Source organism: Homo sapiens, chromosome 5 (genome assembly GCF_000001405.40).
Source record: "Homo sapiens chromosome 5, GRCh38.p14 Primary Assembly".
In the NCBI taxonomy this organism is placed as follows: domain Eukaryota; kingdom Metazoa; phylum Chordata; class Mammalia; order Primates; family Hominidae; genus Homo; species Homo sapiens.
In genome coordinates, this window is record NC_000005.10 from 37280890 (window position 1) to 37303091 (window position 22202).

A 22202-nucleotide genomic window follows, 5' to 3' on the forward strand; every position below is an offset into this window, starting at 1 on the left:
ACATTTTAGTTTTGAGGGCCAATAAATTATTCTTTTGCTAAAACTAACATGAGACTTTTGTTATTTTTATTTTTGCTCAACTAAAATGCAGTGCTTATAATGCCACACTAGGAATCTGTAATTTCTTGAGGAAAAAGGTAGGAGTATATTTAGAGTTACATTTTTTTTTTTTGAGACAGAGTCTTGCTCTGTCACCCAAGCTGGAGTGCAGTGGTGTGATCTTGGCTCAGTGCAACCTCTGCCTCCCAGGTTCAAGCAATTCTTCTGACTCAGCCTCCCGAGTAGCTGGGATTACAGGTGCCCACCACCATGCCTGGCTAATTTTTGTGTTTTTTAGTACAGATGGGGTTTCACCATTTTGGTCAGGCTGGTCTCGAACTCCTGACCTAACGATTCACCCCCCCTTGGCCTCCCAAAGTGCTGGGATTACAGGCATGAGCCACCATACCTGGCTACATTTTTTAAAGGAATATAAAACTACTTCTTGACCACTGTTCACCAGTATTCACAATAAACAATATACAATTGGAATAACACTCTGACTACTACAAAATTATTTTTCCTGGCTTCTGGTGAACCAGTAAAATGAATATAGAAAAGAGTGTAAGGGATGAGCAGGGATAAAGAAAAAACATCCAGATCAATAGTTTAAGATAAAGCTTTGTTCTTCCAGGTCCTAAACTGCAACCATCTCTAACCATCTGATTAGGTTTCCATGAACCAAGCCTCAGATCGTCCATGAATCATGACCATTGAGTCAACATAGCACAGGGATTTCAACTTTTTGTAAAGAAAATGTTCACGAGGTGAATCTTTACATGTTCATTTTAGTCTTGTTTAAAACACACCAGGCTTTGTCTAGTTTCCTCTTCTGGGTGGGGAGGTTGTTGGCAGTGATAAAATTTTTCCTTTCAGGAATTCTGTAAATAAACCGTTATGTTTATGACTACATGTATAGATTCTGATTAGGTGCTGTATTAGTCCATACTCACACTGCTGATAAAGACATACCTGAGATGGGGCAATTTACAAAAGAAAGAGGTTTAATGGACTTGCAGTTCCAAGTGGCTGGGGAGGCCTCACAATCGTGGTGGAAGGCAAGGAGGAGCAAGTCACATCATACGACGATGGCAGCAGGCAAAGAGAGAGCTTGTTCAGGGGAGCTCCTCTTTATAAAATCATCACCTCTCATGAGACTTATTCACTATCACAAGAACAGTACAGGAAAGACTTGCCCCTATGATTCAATTACCTCACGCTGGGTCCCTCTCACAACACATGGGAATTCAAGACAAGATTTGGGTGGGGAAACAGCCAAATCATATCATTCCACCCCTGGCTCCTCCTAAATCTTATGTCCTCACATTTCAAAACCAATCTTGCCTTCCCAACAGTCCCCCAAAGTCTTGACTCATTTCAGCATTAACTCAAAAGTCCACAGTCCAAAGTCTTGTCTGAGACAAGGTAAGTCCCTTCCAGCTATGAGCCTGTAAAATCAAAAGCAAGTTAGTTACTTCCTAGATACAATGGGGGTACAAGCATTGGGTAAATACAGATTCCAAATGGGAGAAATTGGCCAAAACAAAGGGACTACAGGCCCCATCCAAGTCAAAATCCAGCAGGGCAATCAAATCTTTTTTTTTTTTTTTTTTTTTGAGACAGAGTCTCACTCTGCCTAGAATGCAATGGGCGATCTCGGCTCAGTGCAACCTCCACCTGCCAGGTTCAAGCAATTCTACTGCCTCAGCCTCACAAGCAGCTGGGATTAGAGGCACATGCCACCAGACCCAGCTAATTTTTTGTATTTTTAGTAGGGACGGGGTTTCACCATGCTGGCCAGGCTGGTCTCAAACTCCTGACCTCAAGTGATCCACCCACCTCTGCCTCCCAAAGTGCTGGGATTACAGGCATGAGCCACTGCGCCAGGCTGGGCAGTCAAATCTTAAAGCTCCAAAATGATCTCCTTTGACTTCATGTCTCACATCTGGGTAACACTGATGCAAGAGGTGAGTTCCCATGGTCTTGGACAGCTTCACCTGTGGTTCTGCAGGGTAGAGCTTCCCTCCCGGCTGCCTTCATGAGCTGGCATTGAGTGTCTGCGGCTTTACCAGGTGCACGGTGCAAGCTGTCAGTGGATCTACCATTCTGAGGTCTGGAGGACAGTGGCCCTCTTCTCACAGCTCCACTAGGCAGTGCTCCAGTAGGGACTCTATGTGGGGGCTGCAGCTCCACATTTCCCTTCTGCACTGCCCTAGCAGAGGTTCTCCATGACAGCCCCGCCCCTGCAGCAAACTTCTGCCTGGGCATCCAGGCATTTCCATACAACTTCTGAAATCTAGCCGAAGGTTTCCAAACCTCAATTATTGACTTCTGTGCACCCGCAGGCTCAACACCATGTGGAAGCTACCAAGGCTTGGGGATTGTACCCTCTGAAGCCACAGCCCAAGCTGTACTTTGGCCCCTTTTCATCATGAGTGGAGCGGCCAGGACACAGGGCACCAAGTCCCTAGACTACATACAGCATGAGAACCCTGGGCTGGGACCATGAAACCATTTTTTCCTCCTAGGCCTCTGGGCCTGTGATGGGTGGGGCTGCCGTGAAGACCTCTAACATGCCCTGGAGACATGTGATTAACATTCATCTCCTGGTTACTTATCCAAATTTCTGCAGCCAGCTTGAATTTCTCCTCAGAAAATGTGGGAAAGTTAAAAGCTACTTAGAGACTTGTTGAATGGCTTTGCCCAAAATGCTGATAGCGATATGGACAATAAGGTCCAGGCTGACCTAGTCTCAGATGTAAATGAGGAACTTGTTGGGAATTGGAGCAAAGATGACAAAGATAACTCTTGTTATGTTTTAGTGAGGAGACTGGTGGCATTTTGCCCCTGCTCTAGAAATTTGTGGAACCTTGAACTTGAGAGAGATGATTTAGGGTATCTGTCTTCTTCTAAGCCCTCCAAACTGTCCCAAACTCTGTGTGTTACCCAGTTCCAAAGGTGCTTCCACATTTTCAGATATATTTTCAGCAATGCCCCACTCTACTGGTACCAATTTACTATATTAGTCAATTTTCATGTTGCTGATAGACATACCCTGGCTCACACCTGTAATCCCAGCACTTTGGGAGGCAAAGGTGGGTGGATCACAAGGTCAGGAGTTCGAGACCAGCCAGGCTAATATGGTGAAACTGCCCCCCGCCCCCGTCTCTGCTACAAAAATTAGCCTGGCATGCTGGTGAGGACTTGTAGTCCCAACTACTCAGGAGGCTGAGGCAGGATAATTGCTTGAACCCAGGAGGCGGAGGGTGCAGTGAGCCAAGATCATGCTCTGGGCGACAGAATACCCGAGACTGGGTAATTTATACAGGAAAGAGGGTTTAATGGACTTACAGTTACACGTGGCTGGGGAGGCCTCTTAATCATGGTGGAAAGCAAGGAAGAACAAGTCATGCCTTACCTGAATGGCAGCAGGCATAGAAAGAGTTTGTGCAGGGGAACTCCTCTTTATAAAACCATCGGATCTCAGGAGATTAATTTACTATCTTAACAGCACAGGAAAGACTTGCCCCCATGATTCAATTACCTCCCACTGGGTCCCTCCCACAACACATGAGAATTCAAGATGAGATTTGGGTGGGGACATAGCCAAACCATATCAGGTGCTTTTAAAATATCCAATTTGGCTGGGCATGCTGGCTCATGCCTGTAATCCCAGCACTTTGGGAGGCCAAGGCAGGAGGATCACTTGAGGTCAACAGTTCAACACCAGCCTGGCCAACATGGTGAAACCCCGTCTCTACTAAAAATACAAAAATCGGCCAGGTGTGGTGGTGCATGCCTGTAGTCCCCGCTACTCAGGAGGCTGAGGCAGGAGAATCGCTTGAACCTAGGAGGTGGAGATTACAGTGAGCCAGGATCATGCCACTGCACTCCAGCCTGGGTGAGAGTGAGATTCCATCTCAAAATAAATACATAAATAAATTAAAATATCCAATTTAAATTATGCAATTAATTAAAGAATCATCTATTTAATGTCATGACTTCAGGAAAATTTTCAATTTAACATGAAGTGATTTATTTTGTAGGATCCTCTGAATGATGGCATCTCAGAAATATGGGCTTACTCATGATTTTTTGTTTTGGTGAATGGTTAAAAACAACAAAAGACGGCCAGGCACGGTGGCTCAAGCCTGTAATCCCAGCACTTTGGGATGCCGAGGTCAGGAGTTCAAGACCAGCCTGGCCAACAAGGTGAAACCCCATCTCTACTAAAAATACAAAAATTAGCCAGGTGTGGTGGTGGACGCCTGTAATCCCAGCTACAGGGAGCTGAGGCGGAGGTCGCAGTGAGCCGAGATCGCGCCATTCCACCCCAGCCTGGGGGACAGGAGCAAGACTTCATCTCAAAAACAACAACAAAAGAAAAATGTTTATATATCCATATTACGTATACACACACACACACAAACCACAATGGTCCCTAAGTATATGATAACAAATTCTAATTGAGTAATGACTACGGAAATTACCCTCGACATCTAGAAAAGCTGTTCTCTAATGCCAAGGAAATAATATGCCATCGTATCAAACATTCTTTTCCGATAAGGGAAGCAACCACAGAAAGCTTTCATTTGTTGAAAGTAACCAGTGCTATTGATGCAAACAAAACAAAATCCCAATGACTCTCCCCAAACTACTTTTATTTATTTTTGTTTGAGTCAGGGTCTCAATCTGTCACCCGGACTGGAGTGCAGTGGCATGATCTCGGCTCACGGCAACCACTGCCTCTCGGTTTCAAGCTATCCTCTTGCCCCAGCCTCCCAAGTGACTGGATTACAGGCATGTACTACCACACCTGGCTAATTTTTTTTTTTCTTCCCGAGATGGAGTCTCGCTGTGTCACCTGGGCTGGAGTGCAGTGGCATGATCTCGGCTCACTGCAAATTCCACTTCCTGGGTTCAAGCGATTCTCCTGCCTCAGCCTCCTGAGTAGCTGGGATTACAGGTGCCCACCACCACACCTGGCTAATTTTCATATTTGTCGGTAGAGACGGGGTTTCACTATGTTGGCCAGGCTAGTCTTGAACTCCTGACCTCAGGTGATCTGCCTGCCTCGGTCTCCTAAAGTGCTGGGATTACAGGTGTGAGCCGTTGTGCCTGGCCTAATTTTTGTACTTTTAGTAGAGAGAGTTTCACCATGTTGATGAGGCAGGTCATGAACCCAAATTACTTTTTTTTTTTTTTTGAGATGGACTTTCGCTCTTGTTGCCCAGGCTGGAGTGCAATGGCACGATCTCGGCTCACTGCAACTTCTGCCTCCTGGGTTCAAGTGATTCTCCTGCCTCAGCCTCCCAAGTAGCTGGGATTACAGGCATGCACCACCACACCTGGCTAATTTTGTATTTTTAGTAGAGATGGGGTTTCTCCATATTGGTCAGATTGGTCTCGAACTCCCGACCTCAGGTGATCCACCTTGGCCTCTCAAAGTGCTGGGATTACAGATGTGAGCCACCGTGCCCAGCCATAACCCGAACTACTTTCAAAATGAACATATCAAACTTGATTTTTATTAGAATGCAGCTATTTCTTCACATTAGTAAAGCAAAAAGCAAGAGCCCGGTTTTATATACACTTCATGTTTTGTTCTTTTGCTAACACCAAGTCTGCTTTATCTGAATTTTCCATTTCATGAGTATCATCAATTCTCCACTGCTGTCTGCATAGCCAATTATTTTTTTCAGGATCAAGGTCTCTTGGTTTGTCTGCAGTATCTCTTTCCTTGATTTTATGTTATCCAACTGTCAGGTAAATATTTTCTTCTTGTATCATCTTTTTCTTTAACAGCTTTTTTGAGAATTAAATGTTCCAAGTAACTCTTGACAAGCTTAAGTTTCTTCAGGTTCCCAAGTACTTTCAGCATCTATAAATCCCTTCCACATCAGGAAATGCACTACCTTACCATTCATCACACATTGATCCAGTACTTTTTCCACTACAAATTCTTCAGGCTCTGCATCAATTTTTTTTTTGGAGATGGAGTTTCGCTCTTGTTGCCCAGGCTGGAATGTAGTGGCGCGATCTTGGCTAACCACAACCTCCGACTCCCAGGTTCAAGCAAATCTCCTGCCTCAGCCTCCTGAGTAGCTGGGATTATAGGCATGCACCACCACACTCAGCTCATTTTCGTATTTTTAGTAGAAACAGGGTTTCTCCATGTTGATCAGACTGGTCTCGATCTCCCAACCTCAGGTGATCTGCCTGCCTCGGCCTCCCAAAGTGCTGGGATTACAGGCGTAAGCCACTGTGCCCGGCCCCAACTTTTTTATTCTATTGTTTCCTTTCCATTTTTTTGCTCACCACCTCATATTGCTCTGGGTTGAAGGTCTGCCGTGTCTCCAGCCCTGCATGCCTCAAGCTCAAGCTGCGTCTCAAGGGCTAAATTTAGATTTTAAAAAGACCACTCTGTCCTTGGTGTGGAAACAGAGATGGAGAGGTCAAAGTAGAGGCAGGAAGACCACTTTGACACTGTTTTAAGCATCCAAGTGAAACAGAGTAACTTTAATCCACCCTGAAAGCCTAAAGTAATGAGACAATTGGGCAGATATGGGGGATATCAAGTAGACTTGCTTAAAAACTGGTTTTGAAGGGAGGACAATGTAATGATTTTCATATTTTCTATTTGAGACAATAAAGAGGTAGAAAACAAGGAAGAACAGCAAGAGTGGGCAGAGGGCAGAGAGGGATGAGTTCAGGTTTGGTTGTTTTGACAGAGGTGCTTTAGGGGGTCATTTCTAATGTGGGTTGAAAACATACATGGGGATCCCGGATCCCACATGGTAAATTGATTTTGTTTTGTTTTTGAGACCAAGTCTTCCTCTGTCGCCCAGGCTGGAGTGCAGTGGTGTGGGATTTCAGCTCACTGCACCTCTGTCTCCAAGGTTCAAGTGATTCTCATGCCTCAGCCTCCCAAGTAGCTGGGACTACAGGCACCCACCACCACACCCGGCTAACTTTTTTGTATTTTTGGTAGAGACGGGGTTTCACCATGTTGGTCAGGCTGGTCTCAAACTCCTGACCTCAGGTGATCTACCTGCCTTGGCCTCCCAAAGTTCTGGGATTACAGGTGTAAGACACTGCACCTGGCCCTTGATTGATTTTTAAAGTTTTATTATTTGGCTTCAATCTCATTTATATATGAGGAAAACGAAGCTCAGAAGAGTTTCAATGATTTAATGGAAGACTTAAAATATTAGAAAAAAGTTTTATTCTTAAGAGAATTTAAAAGAAGACATTAATAGAAAATGAAAAGAAATTGTGAACCCTTTCAAAACCTTTCAATTCAATGTTCTAGTTCTTCATTTCCTTGATACAACTCTGTACCATGGTCATAATTTTTCCGTCTCATGAATAGGAGGAAAAATGACAGGAATGGAGACTACCCTGAGGAATACTTTTGAGATCAGTGGATAGGTGTTCAATGAATAAGTCAGGTATACCTAAAGAAACACTAAATGTACATGTACATCAGTCAGTATCTCATAGCATAAACAGTTAGTCAAGATAGCTTTCTCTTTCCTAACCGTTTTGCCATACTACAATGATCTAGTTAAAATACAAATTTCACAACTTCAATGATTCTTCACTGCCCACAATTAACGCACTGTTTCATAGACTATGTTCTACCAATTATACATTGCCTACATATAATAGTCACTATAAAGAAATAATGGACAGGCATGGTGGCTCATGCCTATAATCCCAGCACTTTGGGAGACTGAGGCAGGGGAATCACTTAAGGCCAGGAGTTTTGAGAGCAGTCTGGGCAACAGAGTGAGATCTTTTGGCTACACAAAAAATTAAAAAAAAAAAAAAAAAAAAAGTAGGGGGGGTGGGGCTAGGCGCAGTGGCTCATGCCTGTAATCCCAGCTCTTTGGGAGGCCAAGGGGGGTGGATCACCTGAGGTCAGGAGTTCAAGACCAGCCTGACCAACACGGTGAAACCCCATCTCTACTAAAAATACAAAAAAAAAAAATTAGCCAGGCATGGTGGCGCATGCCTGTAATCTCAGCTACTCGGGAGGCTGAGGCAGAAGAATTGCTTGAACCCAGGAAGTGGAGGTTGTGGTGAGCCAAGATCGTGCCATTGCACTCCAGCCTGGGCAACAAGAGCAAAACTCAGTCTCATAAAAAAGGCTGTGGTGAGCCAAGATTGTGCCATTGCACTCCAGCCTGGGCAACAAGAGCAAAACTCAGTCTCAAACAAACAAACAGACAATAGCAGGGTGTAGCAGCACGTGCCTGTAGTCCCAGCTATTTAAGAGGATGAGGTGGGAAGACTGAGTTGAGCCCAGGAGCTCGAGGCTGCAGTGAGCCAAGATCATGCCACTGCACTCCAGGGCAAGCCCTTGTCTTCAAAAAACAAAAAAATTCAAAAAAGTAATGCGTTGAACAAACACCAAGTACAAAGTATACTAATACAGTGGATAAATGCTACTCCAACTCTGATCCACTGACTGCCAGGATCAGCATGACACTACAGATGGAACTCAAGAATCTGTCATAACAGGCTATCCGGCTGATTGTTCTGAATGTGAAAGTTTTAGAAACACTGTTCCAAGGGTAAAAATGAGGGGACCTAATTTCTTCTCTCTTAGGAATCTTACCCCCCAAAAGGTATTGCAAGCATCTGTTGTGGGGCTGGAATTCCTAAAACCTCTCAAAGCATGCTGTGTGAATAAAAGGACAGTGTTCAGATTTCTGACTCTAACAGACCATCTAACCATGGAAGCCTACAGCCCTTTTAAAACATGTACTTTCAATGTTGTGAGCTGAGTATATATAACAACATATTGCTAGTATGTAAATGTGCTTAAAACAAAAATGAAGTTCTTATCTCTAGCAGAACTGGAGTCACACCTAAATTACAACATTCAGACAAGGCCTTCCTTTTAAGTAGACATGACAGAATTTTAAATTTATAAAACGAATTAATGTATCGCATACATTCACTTTACATATTCAAAAAACGCTAAACTTAAGAAACTGAAAAGTTGAAAAATAAGAGGTAGTAGTACCCACTGAGTGACGTTCTGGCATTCTATTAAATATTCTACATTAGAAGATTATAGGGAAAAGGGAGCTGAATTCTAAGAGAACAAATGTAGAGAAGGCAACCCTATGGTCTTGGGAAAAGACAATAATGGAAGGAAAAATATATTCAAAATGTATTGTACAAATTGTTAGACATGCATCACTTACAATAAACAGAAGGTAATTATTTGTGGTAGCATAAAGAGAGAAGGGAATAGGCCAGGCACATTGGCTCACGTCTGTAATCTCAACACTTTGGGAGGTGGAGGCGGGCAGATCACTTGAGGTCAGGAGTTCAAGACCAGCCTGGCCAACATGGTGAAACCCATCTCTACTAAAAATACAAAAATTAGCTGGGTATGGTGGCGCACACCTGCAATCCCAGCTACTCGAGAGGCTGAGGCAGGCAAATTGCTTCAAACCTGTGAGGCAGAGGTTGCAGTGAGCCGGGATCGCACCACTGCACTCCAGGCTGGGCTACAGGGTGAGATTCTGTCTCCAAAAAAAAAAAAAAGAGAGAAAGGAATAGAGTGTTTTGTTAGCTCTGGTCATTCCCACTCTTCTTCTCTCTTGTTGCTATTACTTTGAAGCATTTGGTTTGGTTATTCTATTTTGTTAAGGAATAATTAAAAAGTACATTACTAACAGTTTTGCTTTATATATTGTGTGCCTTGGGCAAAATTTGTGTGTGTGGTTATTCACAGAGGAGGAGCCAGATAGGTAGCTCAGTCCATAAACTATGGAAGGTAGCAGTATCCTTTACTGCAGTGGCTTTCAAATTTGACATGCACCAAAATCTCCTGGAGAGCTTGTTAAAACATAGAAAGCAGGGCCTCATCCCCCACGTTTTTGATTCAGTAGGTCTGGGTTGGGGCTCGAGAATTTGCATTTCTAACAAATTCCTAGGTGATGCTGATGCTGATGCTGATGCTTCTGGTTTGGAGCACATACTTTGAGAACCACTGCTCTAATGGAATCAGTAGTCACAAGGCCAAGCAGCCAGGTAGACACTAAGGGAAAACAGTACCTCCCTGTGTAGGTTTTCAGGACACAACATTAGTTACAAGTTTTATCACCTGCTCAACCAGGTATATAGCTATGTCAATTCTCAAGGGCTTTAACTGACAAAACCAGTTGTTAGAGGACAGTTCTTTCAAGGGTGAACCCAACACCTAAAAAAAGTTTTGAAAAAGTCAGTTATTTGCCTATTTAAGGACGGTTTTAGAATCCACTATTATGGGAATGGATCTGCTTAGCCTATTTGAGGTTTTTTTGTTTTTTGAGACAGAGTCTCGCCCTGTTGCCTGGGCTGGAGTGCAATGGTGCGATTTTGACTCACTGAAACCTCTGCCTCCCGGGTTCAAGTGATTCGCCTCCCTCAGCCTCCCGAGTAGCTGGGATTACAGGCGCCCGCCACCACGCCTGGCTATTTTTTTTTGTATTTTTAGTAGAGATGGGGTTTCACCATGTTGGCCAGGTTGGTCTCAAACTCTTGGCCTCGTGATTCGCCCACCTTGGCCTCCCAAAGTGCTGGGATTACAGGTGTAAGTCACTGTGCCTGGCCGCCTAGTGGAGTTTTAATGCCAATATCCTTGGACTAACTTGAAAATGAATAATATAAATTCGAAATTTCTGCCTGCAGTACAATTCAAAATAAGAGTTTCTAAATTTTTTTAATCCTTATGTTAAAATAATAAATAATCTCATTTCAGTTGTTTTTTCACCCAATTACTAAAAAACAAAATAGTCATAAAAAAGAATTCATTTAGCAAAGGTACTATTTGTAGATATTAGCCACTTATTAAAAACATATTTCTATTAAGATTGTTCTTACATTCTTAGATTTAGAACACCTGATATCTGGACCCAGCTGAGTTTTTATTTTACAGATCATAAAACGGATGAAAGTATATCACAGTAATTAATGAAGCCGTTCTAATTTAGCTTGAAGAGATTTAAAATTCCCAGTGATGGCTTGTACTGCTACTGACGAGCTCATAGACTGGAGCTCAACAAGGTAACCACAAACAGCATCCAGGCAGAGATTTGTAAATCTTCTCCTACAACGAAAAAGACACATGATTAATTATACATTTACAAACATTTCCTCCTGCAGGACTTCTTCCCCACCAACTTCTGGCAACTTTAATTCTCACAGGAGAGGAAAGACCATGTGATTAAGTAAATAAGAAATAAAGTAAAAAAGAAAACTTGGGTGTAGGTGGGTTCCATTTGAAGATTTTTTTTTTTTTTTTGAGACGGAGTCTCGCTCTGTCACTCAGGCTGCAGTGCAGTGGCGCCATCTCGGCTCACTGCAACCTCTGCCTCCTGGGTTCACGCCATTCTCCTGCCTCAGCCTCCCGTGTAGCTGGGACTACAGGTGCCCGCCACCACGCCCAGCTAATTTTTTTGTATTTTTAGTAGAGATGGGGTTTCACGTGTTAGCCAGGATGGTCTCGATCTCTTGACCTCATGATCCGCCCATCTCAGCCTCCCAAAGTGCTGGGATTACAGGTGTGAGCCACCACGCCTGGCCTGAAGATTTTTACAATGAGAAGAAAGCAGTAAGAGATGATTCCTGCTAATATTCTTTTTCAAAAGAATATCCCTTAAATGGCCAATAATATCACAAAGACATAATTGAAATGTTTTGGTCCTAGATCACTAATCTAAAGTAGAAGAAATGAATACATTATGTATGTTCAGCTGTAGAAAGGATTTAGGACAAGGGTTGAAAATGGAAAAAACTCCTATTTTTCATACATGGTGATCAATATCATTCAAATAGTTATTGCTAATATACACAAGAATCTTCCCATCTTCTCTTCAAATTTTTTACCCAGGTATTTATTAGAAGCATTTAAAAGCTTTTGCTGATCCAATATTTAATTCATAAGTACCTTTCACAATTTAAAACTTGGCTGGGATTCTCAACATATCTTATCAATAATACATGTATACAATCCAAAAGGTGCAGTGGCTTCTTCATTCTGTTCCAGAATGGATCCTATGAAGAAATATACATAATGAAATGTGAGGCAAATTGTGTCAATTGATTATTTAAATCATTTATACTAAAGTAGACATCAGGATCCATGCAAAACTTATCGCTATTAAAAAGCATTTAATATCACATGGCTACTAAATTATATATCTGATTATAGTTAATATTTCAAACAACATTAAAAACTTATTAATTAACAACACTATGATATTACTTAGGAGGCATATTTGATATACCAATCTACTTTGCAGAGCATGTAAATGTCCCGCTTAGGAATCTGAGATAAGAGAAAAATCTTTCTTTCTATGGGTTGTGACACCACTTTTACTTTGAACCTATGCAGATTTAGTCTGACATCATAAAGAGACTAAACTAGCAGTAACAGAAACTTAATTCTAGGTCTGGCTTCACCAGTTACTAGCCATGTGACTTAAGCAGGTTATTTAACATCTCTGCTCTTGTTTTTTGCAATATAAGATGGAGATACTACAGTTACCTGCTCATTTCCATCACAGGCTAATGTTGTAAAGCACTGTGTGATGCTGCTATAAAAGACACAATCTACTTTGACAAGTTTTTATTTGGATCTTTTATCCTTAGCATAAAAATTACAAAACATATAGTCTGATAAGGTTCAGCAGGGTGAGAAGGATCTTTAAGCACTGATATTTTAGATGAGGTTATAGTAAATAAATACAATGTAATCTTGTTCTTTTAAAGCAAATGATGATTCTTGGCCGGGCGCGGTGGCTCACGCCTGTAATCCCAGCACTTTGGGAGGCCGAGGCGGGTGGATCATGAGGTCAGGAGATCGAGACCATCCTGGCTAACAAGGTGAAACCCCGTCTCTACTAAAAATACAAAAAATTAGCCGGGCGCGGTGGCGGGCGCCTGTAGTCCCAGCTACTGGGGAGGCTGAGGCAGGAGAATGGCGTGAACCCGGGAAGCGGAGCTTGCAGTGAGCCGAGATTGCGCCACTGCAGTCCGCAGTCCGGCCTGGGCAACAGAGCGAGACGCCGTCTCAAAAAAAAAAAAAAAAAAAAAAATAAAGCAAATGATGATTCTTAATGTAATGAGTTTAGCCCACACCTTGGTTTAGCCTCTTTCACCAAGAGTAAAGCATATTTATTAATATTCAAAAATAATATTTCATTTTAATCATGATATACAGGAAAGCAACTCTCATTATCAGTTTAAAAAGTCAAAAGCATAATTTCCAAGACTCAACCAAGTGTAATTAGACTAAGTGATAGGATACAAAAATGCAATCAAAATACCCCACTCTATATCTACAAAGTTACTTTAATTAAAGAAAATAATTTTATGTTATTTAATATTTTCCTTACCCGTGATTTGAACAACTGATCATAAACTTCTAGTAGTCTAGGTAATGGTACTCCAATTTCATTCATTGTCTGTATTACGAAGCCCACATCCCAGTTCAAAGTACAAACCTGCTGTTCTAAAAACTGTACAATAAAATCTGGGAAGAAAAAAAAAGATCGGAAATTTGGATTTTTAGCTCTTGATACTAAAAGGTAGGTCTTATTCATAACTGAATAGTTTCTAGGGGGATATCTTCTGAAATCCAATTGCAATTTTTTGGGGCGGGGGGTTTTTTTTGCTATGTTGCCCAGACTAGAAATAGTGGCTATTCATAGGAGCAACTACAGTGCACGACAGCCTTGAAATCCTGAGCTCAATCCTCCCACCTCAACCTCCCAAGTAAGCTGGGGCTACAAGTGTGCACCATCACTCTCAGCTTAAAAGAAAAAAAAAGTTTTTTTTAAATAAAAGTAAGATATATACCAGAACAGGCAAATCTAAAGTAGATTAGTGGCTGCCTAGGGCTGGAGGGTGTGAAGGAATGGGAAGTGACAACTAATGAGCACAGAGTTTCTTTTTGGGATGATGAAAATGTCCTAAAATTAAAATTACAGAACCTAGAAAACTCAGAAAGATATAAGAAGAAAACAGAGACGATTCACGATCCCAATATTGAAGAGGACTTCACTGATAATTTTTTTTAGTAACAGTATTTAAAAAAAATAGGTTTCCTGTCCCTGTCCCTCTCCCTGTCCCTCTCCCCTCTTTCCAAGGTCTCCCTCTGATGCCGAGCCGAAGCTGGACTGTACTGCTATCTCGGCTCACTGCAACCTCCCTGCCTGATTCTCCTGCCTCAGCCTGCCGAGTGCCTGCGATTGCAGGTGCGCGCCGCCACGCCTGACTGGTTTTCGTATTTTTTGGGTGGAGACGGGGTTTTGCTGTGTTGGCCGGGCTGGTCTCCAGCTCCTAACCGCGAGTGATCCGCCAGCCTCGGCCTCCAGAGGTGCCGGGATTGCAGACGGAGTCTCCTTCACTCAGTGCTCAATGGTGCCCAGGCTGGAGTGCAGTGGCGTGATCTCGGCTCCCTACAACATCCACCTCCCAGCAGCCTGCCTTGGCCTCCCAAAGTGCCGAGATTGCAGCCTCTGCCCGGCCGCCACCCTGTCTGGGAAGTGAGGAGCGTCTCTGCCTGGCCGCCCATCGTCTGGGATGTGAGGAGCCCCTCTGCCTGGCTGCCCAGTCTGGAAAGTGAGGAGCATCTCTGCCCAGCCGCCATCCCATCTAGGAAGTGAGGAGCGCCTCTTCCCGGCCGCCATCCCATCTAGGAAGTGAGGAGCGTCTCTGCCCGGCCACCCATCATCTGAGATGTGGGGAGCGCCTCTGCCCTGTCGCCCCGTCCGGGATGTGAGGAGCGTCTCTGCCCGGCCACCCCGTCTGAGAAGTGAGGAGACCCTCTGCCTGGCAACCGCCCTGTCTGAGAAGTGAGGAGCCCCTCCGCCCAGCAGCCGCCCCGTCTGAGAAGTGAGGAGCCCCTCCGCCCGGCAGCCACCCCGTCCGGGAGGGAGGTTGGGGGGTCAGCCCCCCGCCTGGCCAGCCGCCCCGTCCGGGAGGTGAGGGGCGCCTCTGCCCGGCCGCCCCTACTGGGAAGTGAGGAGCCCCTCTGCCCGGCCAGCCGCCCCATCCGGGAGGGAGGAGGGGGGGGTCAGCCCCCCGCCCGGCCAGCCGCCCTGTCCGGGAGGGAGGTGGGGGGGTCAGCCCCCCGCCCGGCCAGCCGCCCCGTCCGGGAGGTGAGGGGCACCTCTGCCCGGCCGCCCCTACTGGGAAGTGAGGAGCCCCTCTGCCCGGCCACCACCCCATCTGGGAGGTGTGCCCAACAGCTCATTGAGAACGGGCCATGATGACAATGGCAGTTTTGTGGAATAGAAAGGGGGGAAAGGTGGGGAAAAGATTGAGAAATCGGATGGTTGCCGTGTCTGTATAGAAAGAGGTAGACATGGGAGACTTTTCATTTTGTTCTGTACTAAGAAAAATTCTTCTGCCTTGGGATCCTGTTGATCTGTGACCTTACCCCCAACCCTGTGCTCTCTGAAACATGTGCTGTGTCCACTCAGGGTTAAATGGATTAAGGGCGGTGCAAGATGTGCTTTGTTAAACAGACGCTTGAAGGCAGCATGCGGCAGCATGCTTGTTAAGAGTCATCACCACTCCCTAATCTCAAGTACCCAGGGACACAAACGCTGCGGAAGGCAGCCGCAGGGTCCTCTGCCTAGGAAAACCAGAGACCTTTGTTCACTTGTTTATCTGCTGACCTTCCCTCCACTATTGTCCTGTGACCCTGCCAAATCCCCCTCTGCGAGAAACACCCAAGAATGATCAATAAAAATAAATAAATAAATAAATAAATAAATAGGTTTCCTCACTTTAACAGCTTTTCAGAAAAGGGCAACTGCATCCTGATTTCAGAAATATTAAATGTGTTTTTTAATGCCCCACCCCTAGATTTATTTGACAGTTCTAACTGTGGCCTCATTCTTACTTTTAACTGCCTATCTTATCATAAACAGTAACAGCCAAATTTATAGTTATGGCCAGGCGTGGTGGTTCGCACCTATAATCCCAGCACTATGGGAGGCCAAGGTGAGCAGATCACCTGAGGTCAGGAGTTCGAGACCAGCCTGGCCAACATGGTGAAACCCTGTCTCTATTAAAAATACAAAAAAATTAGCTAGGTGTGGCTAATTCAAGACTAGCTTGGGCAACACCATGAGATCCCTTCTCTATCAAAAGAAAAAAATATATATATATAAGTAAAACATAGAAATCCTCCTAACTCAGCCTGATTAGCTAGGACTATAGGCACGTGCTACCATGCCTAGCTAATCTTAATTTTTTTTGTAGAGACGGGGCTTGCTATGCCCAGGCTGGTCTCAAACTCCTGGCTTCAAGCAATCTTCCTGCCTTTGCCTCTCCAAAGTGTTGAGATTACAGGTGTGAGCCACCACACAAAGCCCACATGATTATTTCTAAATTAAAATGAAAATTCCTTAAAAAGAACTATGTACAATACAGTGTTATTTATTTATTTATTGAAATGGGGTCTCACTGTGTCACTGAGGTTGGAGTGCAGTGGTTCGATCTCAGCTCACTGCAGTTTTCACCTCCCAGGCTCAAGTGATCCTCCCACCATAGCCTCCCGAGTAGCTGGAACCACAGGCGCATGCCACTATGCCTGGATAATTTTCCTATTTTTTTGTAGAGACAGGGTTTTGCCATGTTGCCCAGGCTGGTCTCGAACTCCTGGGCTCAAGCGATCCATCCGCCTCGGCCTCCCAAAGTGCTGGGATTACACCTGTGAGCCACCATGCCCAGCCATGGTGCAGTGTTTTTTAAAACAACTATCAAAAGTACCAGTTTCACACACTTATAAACATTTATATAAAGTATGTATTTGCTCTTTTATTTCTCTTTATTTTTAGGATCAATAAAATGGTATGGAAAGGGAACCGTTTCCATATTATACCTACAAAAGTAAGGGTATGAATAAAATGGTTTTATTTCTGACTATGTCCAGAGGGAATAGACCCTAAGTCAGAGATGGTCTGTAAACAAGTTTGAATGCTCATTTGAAAAAAAAAAAAAAAAAATTAGGCTGGGCACAGTGGCGAACGCCTTTAATCCCAGCACCTTGGGAGGCCAAGGCAAGCGGATCACCTGAGGCCAGGAGTTTGAGACCAGCCTAGACAACATGGGGAAACCTCATTTCTAATAAAAATACAGAAAATTAGCCAGGCGTGGTTGCAGGCACCTGTAATCCCACCTACTTGGGAGGCTAGGCAGGAGAACTGCTTGAACCTGGAAGGCAGAAGTTGCAGTGAGCCGAGATGGCATCATTCCACTCCAGCCTGGGCGACAGAGAAAGCCTCTGTCTCAAAAAAAAAAAAAAAAGTTATATTGTGAGGATTTTCATGTCTCTCAATATTTTTAAATAACACAAAAGTAGTTGATATTCTAATTTATGGATGTATTTATGTTGCTTCTATTGTTTTACCACTGAGGAAAACACTTGTAGGTTGGCAAATAGCTCATAATTAGCTACCTTATTTAAAAATTATAGCCACCATATCTCATTAAGAAAGGGATTCAAACACTAAGTTTTAACATAATTATTTGCTATTTTAAAGAAAAACATGCCCTCAACATAAAAAAAGAACAGTTGAATCAATCACAGATTACCTATGCACAAAAACATCAACCGTTTTTCTTTTCTCTTCAGAAACTTGTATAGGGTTACCAACAATATAATCATAGTTTGTCAGTCAGCACAATCCTAAGACAGGTAATATAAACTTGGAAAGTTAGTCACAGAAAGTTTCATACTCAACTCTTCATTAACAAATTCTGCCATTCTTTGGAAGTCTTTCCGGAGAGGCAGAATTAAAGTGCTGAACTAAATAGCAAAGAAACTCTTTATTTTACTCGAAAGATCGTTATTTGTCCATATCAACGGAGAAAACCATCAGAACAGAAAATACGTGACTGCACCTAAGATCACAGCTTACCTAAAGGAAAGAAGCGTGGTGTGCCAGCATAAATTTTGCCAAGGAGAACAATCTTGAGACTAAGAGCATGCATTCTATCCGAGGAGCTCAATGTCACACTGTCACTCAATTCTGTAACAAAAAGACATGTCATTTGAAACCCAAATTACTTTTAATGTGAAATGTTTACATTGGTTATTTAATTCTGTTTCAAGGTTCAAAATACTTTAGAACAGATAGTCACATTAATATGATTAACAGATTTGGTGTTTCTGTTATTGTCTGAGATACTCTCATGTCTTACCAGGTTATACTGGTTATTAGATTCTGAGGTGAGTGTCTCAGTATCTTTTATAAGGCAGCACAAATAATATAAATTAAATAACCTTTTCACTGAGTATTCTCCCGAATATTCACTTGGGTCATTCTGTGTATGATCATCCTCCACCATACCCAGGTGACTTCCACTTACTCTCTTCTTAGGTATACACAATTTTCATGAGCCACTAGCAGCTTGCATTATATTAGTTACTAGCAGCTTGCATTCCTCCACCAAGTCACTACATAACGTATGCTAACATACCTATAACTGAACACTTACCTTTCTCTATGATATCTTGCCAAAGTGTCTGCACCAATATAGGGTCTGAATAACCGGCACAATGAATTATTGCAAGTTTGCACTCTGCAAGTTTAAATGGGTCAGCAAATTCCCCATAAAGCTGTGAGAGAAAATCCCAAAATTAACATCCAACTAGAGATCAACATTCAGAGATTAATAGTGAAGCACTCCTTGAAAATTAAAAAATAACCAAAGATTTTACATAAAGTTTCTGAAATATGATATAAAGATGTGATGATGTATGTAGCTGGTTATAACTCCATATTTAAAAAGTTAAGGGTATGGGCCGGGTACGGTGACTCAGGCCTGTAATCCCAGCACTTTAAGAGGCCAAGGTGGGCGGATCACGAGATCGGGAGATGGAGACCATCCTGGCCAATATGGTGAAACCCCGTCTCTACTAAAATTTAAAAAAAAAAAAAATTAGCTGGGCATGGTGGTGCATGGCTGTAGTCCCAGCTACTCAGGAGGCTGAGGAAGGTGGAGGTTGCAGTCAGCTGAGATCACGCCATTGCACTCTAGCCTGGTGACAGAGAAAGACTCTGTCTCCCCCCGCCAAAAAAAAAAAAAAAGGGTAAGGGTATGGTAAATACATTCAAACACATTTTAGCATGTAGAGCTTTTTTCTTGGCTGGGAAGAAGATGTTGCAACGACATTCTATTTATTAATTTTAAAATTCATTTTTTCAAATTTCTGTGGGTACACAGTAGGTGTATGTATTTATGGGGTACATGAGATGTTCTGATACAGTCATGCAATGAGAAATAAGCATGTCATGGAGAATGTCTATTCCTCAAGCAGTTATCCTTTTGAGTTACAAATAATCCAATTACATTCTCTATTTTAAAATATACAGTTATTATTGACTATAGTCACCCTATTGTGCTATCAGATAGGTCTTATTCATTTTGTTTTTGTACCCATTAACCATCCCCACCTTCCCTACAAACCTCCTGCAATGGTATTTTAGAACTAGTGTTGTATAAACAATGGGTTGAAGAATCACAGGAATACTGACAAATCTCAAAGTGTTTCAGGGTACCTGGAACTATGTCTAAGAATAAATGAAGAGGAAGGAACTGCTCAGAAAATTACAGAGAGAGAAAGAGGTTTAGAGAGTTAAGCAAAGATAAGTTAGTTTTTCCAAGGCAAGAAGCGAGGCCATAAATAAGATGGTTTTGGTTTTTTAGTTTTTTTTTCTTTTTGAGACAGGGTCTCACTCTGTCACTCAGGCTGGAATGCAGTAGCACCATCGAGGCTCACCACAACCTGGGCCTCCTGGGCTAAATCAATCCTCCCACCTCAGACTCCTGAGTAGATGAACTACAACCACACACCACCACACCTGGCTAATTTTTTTTTTTTTTTTTTGATGGAGTCTTGCTCTGTCGCCCAGGCTCCTAGACTGCAGTGCCATGATCTCGGCTCACTGAAACCCCCACCTCCTGGGTTCAAGCAATTCTCCTGCCTCAGCCTCCCAGGTAGCTGGGATTACAGGCGCATGCCACCACGCCTGGCTAATTTTTGTATTTTTAGTAGAGACAGAGTTTCCCCATGTTGACCAGGCTGGTCTCAAACTCCTGACCTCAGGTGATCTGCCCGCCTCAGCCTCCCAAAGTGTTGGATTACAGGCGTGAGCCACAGTGCCTGGCCTTTTTTGCTATTTTTTTGTAAAGATGAGGTTTTGCCATGTTGCCCAGGCTGGAAATAAGCTGGTTTTAACACAGCTCTCATGCGAGGATGATAGGTTCTTTGTAGCTACTGGCCTGGAAAGAGTAGCTTAGCCTTTTTCTAGGAGTCAGATGAAGCAGTGGTGATCTGTCAGCCCAGTGACAAGCTGCCAAAGATGCCTTATCTTATTTGTGGAGATAAGGTAATTTTCCCCATGAAACAAAAAGCAAAATAAAAAACAAAAATTTCTCATTATTAGGTAACTACTATAAAAATTTCACTTGCTTTTTTATTACCTTAGTTATGTCCATCAGCTCAGAATCCAGCTGAGAAACTGCATCCTGTACAGAAGAATGATGGGAATACTGCCTTTGTAGTGTCTCCTGTATCTGAAGTTGGATCCTAGCAACCTAGTTTGGGCAGAAAACAGGATGTCTTAATTTATTTATGATAAATCAACATACGTTTGAAAGAACGGATCCTACTATCTGACTTTAAGTTTGCTAAAATAATGTATAAATGAAGATTTCTATCATAATAGGCTAATATTATCATAACAGACATCAACTAAACATAATAGATTTCACAGGAAGTATACTGTGGCAGACTCCTTGCTGCCCAATACTTATACCTTCCAAGACTGTAGCCAAATGGTTAGACTATACAGCTCAGCCTCCTCTGTAGGGGAGGTATGGCCATACAACCAAGTTCTCTTCAAAGGAATGTGAGTAGAAGTAGTGTGTCATGTCAGGGCTATAGTTTTTAAGACAGTGAATGTGTTCTTTCTTTTCCTTCCACCCTCTGCTGAAGATAAAGCAGAGGCCCTAGGGAATGGTAGTGCCAGAAAATAGAACTTGGGTTCCTAAATCAACCACACGGAGGAAAGCCAGCTGCCAATCAGGAAGACTCACCTTGGATTTTTGTGAATAAGAAACAAACTTTTGTATTTGGACGATGGTATGTTTTTGATTCTCTTAGTTAGGGAATTTTAGCCTACTCTACTTCATACATCTACTTATTTGCTTCCAAAATAAATGGTGAATGTGATGTAATCCACTTGCTGTTGAAACAGTTGGGAAAAACATTTATTTTTTATTATTATTATTTTTTGAGACAGAGTCTCAGTCTGTCTCCCAGGCTGGAATGCAGTGGTGCAATCTCAGCTCACTGCAACCTCCGCTTCCTGGGTTCAAGCAATTCTCCTGCCTCAGTCTCCCAAGTAGCTGGGACTACAGGTGTGTGCCACCACCCCCGGCTAATTCTTGTATTTTTTTAAGTAGAGACAAGGTTTCGCCATATTGGCCAGGCTGGTCTCGAACTTCTGACCTCATGATCTGGCTGCCTCGGCCTCCCAAAGTGCTGGGATTACAGGCGTGAGCCACTGCACCCAGCTGGGAAAAACCTTTCGAAGTGCCAAAGAGAAAACTTCTAAATTATAGCAATGTTTTTATGACCCAAGTGCATCCTTAAAAATCTTTAAGATTTATATCTAAACATAAAAATAAATATAAACAGACAAAAGCAACTAGAATAATAATGACTTCTCAGACCTATTACTTACCAAGGGAAGAATGGAATGTGGAATAACTATGTGGCTAGTACTCAATGTGGACACAGCTTAAGATCTTTAGCACTTACCTCCATTTTTTCTTCTAATTCATGAAGAAATTCACCATCGGCAGCTATTGATGAAATGGCAGTGGAACTTTTGGCACTAAGAATGGCTCGAGCAATGTACTCTAGTCGCTGCTGAAGTGAAATTTCTGTGCTAGAAGGGAAAACGCTTATTTTTAGTTACACAATTTCTTAAGGATTGATGATACAAATACGTCAATTAGTATGTACTGTTTCATACCAAACACACATAAAAAGCCATCTGAAACTTGAAAAAAAATCATTAGATTTAAAAAAAAATCTATTTTAGATTTCTCATAAGAGAGATCCACAATTT

General features: G+C 42.8%; 1 protein-coding gene across 3 annotated transcripts in view; it reads right to left on the reverse strand.

Annotated features, from left to right (window-relative positions):
• The window catches only part of NUP155 (nucleoporin 155), an 82970-nt gene continuing 68015 nt past the window's right edge, over nucleotides 7248-22202 (reverse strand). For all 3 annotated transcript variants that reach the window (NM_001278312.2, NM_153485.3, NM_004298.4), the window contains 7 exons: nucleotides 21890-22019; nucleotides 20548-20661; nucleotides 18559-18679; nucleotides 17979-18089; nucleotides 13440-13576; nucleotides 11990-12096; nucleotides 7248-11149 (listed from right to left, as the gene is read on the reverse strand). In NM_001278312.2, coding sequence (NP_001265241.1) covers nucleotides 11011-11149; nucleotides 11990-12096; nucleotides 13440-13576; nucleotides 17979-18089; nucleotides 18559-18679; nucleotides 20548-20661; nucleotides 21890-22019 — 859 coding nt within the window. In that variant the 3' untranslated portion in view covers nucleotides 7248-11010. The remainder of the gene's footprint in view (nucleotides 11150-11989; nucleotides 12097-13439; nucleotides 13577-17978; nucleotides 18090-18558; nucleotides 18680-20547; nucleotides 20662-21889; nucleotides 22020-22202) is intronic.